The sequence below is a fragment of the Homo sapiens genome, chromosome 15 (assembly GCF_000001405.40).
Source record: "Homo sapiens chromosome 15, GRCh38.p14 Primary Assembly".
Taxonomy (NCBI): domain Eukaryota; kingdom Metazoa; phylum Chordata; class Mammalia; order Primates; family Hominidae; genus Homo; species Homo sapiens.
In genome coordinates, this window is record NC_000015.10 from 26,324,689 (window position 1) to 26,326,641 (window position 1,953).

General features: G+C 40.1%; 1 annotated feature.

Annotated features, from left to right (window-relative positions):
• Positions 726–1,446: an enhancer, noted in NCBI's record as "OCT4-NANOG-H3K27ac hESC enhancer chr15:26570561-26571281 (GRCh37/hg19 assembly coordinates)". NCBI's record gives its function as "activates a minimal SCP1, AML or CMV promoter by ChIP-STARR-seq in naive and primed H9 embryonic stem cells {active_cell/tissue: H9 hESC(naive and primed)}" and the evidence as "EXISTENCE:reporter gene assay evidence [ECO:0000049][PMID:30033119]".

Here is a 1,953-nt window from a genome sequence, read left to right on the forward strand (position 1 = left end):
TCTCTAGCACACATGAGGACAGGCCGTGTGCCTGCCATAAAACAGACCTCCCTCGGTCAATTTTAAAAGATACAGTACGTATTCTTTGTGGGGGCTATAGGCTGTGAAAAGTCACTGACATGAGGCAGATTGATTAATAGGAAAAAAGCTGTAAAACAAAAATAAAATTCTAAGCTCCCATGACTGACTGATGGACCTTCTTCTTGGCCAAGGGCATTCCAAAGTTAACCTGAAAAATGAGTTCAGGCCATAATGGGAGCAAGGGGTCAGACATGCCTCATCATACCCTGCTCCCTTTGGAATTCAGGCACAGCTGACCAGCATTAACATCAAAACAGAGACCTTAAAACTGATAGAACACACTCTTTGTGTGATAAGAAATAGTTAAAATTGATTCTCTCTGAAGCCTGCTACCTGGAGGCTTCATCTGTACAATAAGAAACTTAGTTTCCACAATCCCTTATCTTAACCCAGATGCTCTCTTCTATTAATTTCAGGTCTCCCACTTAAGACCTGAAATTAATAGAAGAGAGTCTGGGTTAAGATAAGGGATTGAAATAACTCTTTCAACCAATTGCCAATCAGAAAATCTTCAAATCCATCCATGACCTGGAAGCCCCTGCTTTCAGTTGTCCCATCTTTCTGGACTGAATCAGTGTTCCATCCTGACCACCTTGGGCACATGTTCTCAGGATATCCTGGGGCTGTGTCACATGCCATTGGTCATTCATATTTGGCTCAGAATAAATCTCTTCAAATATTTTGAAGAGTTTGACTCTTTTCATTGACAAAGCATACAAATTTATTTAATGTGTATACATGGGAGCCTTCAGAATGAAGATCCAACCCAACAATAAGATACAGAAGCTTATATACCATCCTGAGGCCACAGAAAAAACACAGACTCAATGTGTCCAAAATCAGGTTATGCTGGTAACTCAAGTTTAGTGGCAAGACAGATGACAGGAGAGAGAAAGGAAGAGGTGTGGCTAGCAAGGGGTGTCCTTGTTATGTAGATGAAGCCTCCCTCAGAGAGAATAGATAGTAACTGTTTCCTTTCAGACTTTTAAGGATATCAAATTCCATCCTCTCCTGGATTAGAAAGGCATAGAAAGGGGAGGCAGGCTGCATTAATGGAGATTCTCTACAGTTGCAAATTTCTCCCACTTGAGTCTGCTAATCCTGAGGCAGTCATTTCAAAATATGTCAAGGAATTATATTTTGGAGTAAAATATTTTGAATTATTTTATCTTCAGTCATAATGCAATTAAATTAGCAATCAGCAACAGAAATAATTAAGAAATCTACAAATATTTGGAGATTAAATAACATACTCTAAATCACGCATAGTTCAAAGAGAAAATCACAAGGGGACTTAGAAACTATTTTGAGCTGAATAGAAAGAAAAATACAACTTATCACAATTTATTGGATGCAGTGAAGAAAGAGCTTAGAAAAAAATTTATAGTTGAAAAGACTATATTAGAAATGATGAATTCTCTCAACTTGATAATCTAAACTTTCACCTTAAGAATTGAGGAGAAAGCTGGGCACAGTGGCTCACGCCTGTAATCCCAGCACTTTGGGAGGCCAAGGCAGGCAGATCACGAGGTCAGGAGATCAAGACCATCCTGGCTAACACGGTGAAACCCCATCTCTACTAAAAATACAAAAAAAAAAAAAATTAGCTGGACGTGGTGGCGGGTGCCTGTAGTCCCAGCTACTCAGGAGGCTGAGGTAGGAGAATGGCATGAACCTGGGAGGCGGAGCTTGCAGTGAGCCAAAAGCACACCACTGCACTCCAGCCTGGATGACAGAGTGGGACTCTGTCTCAAAAAAAAAAAAAAAAGAATTGAGGAGAAAAGCAAACTAAGTCCATATCAAGTGAAAGAAAGGAAATACTCACTTTGGGAGGCCAAGGTGTATGGATCACTTGAGGCCAGAAATTCAAGA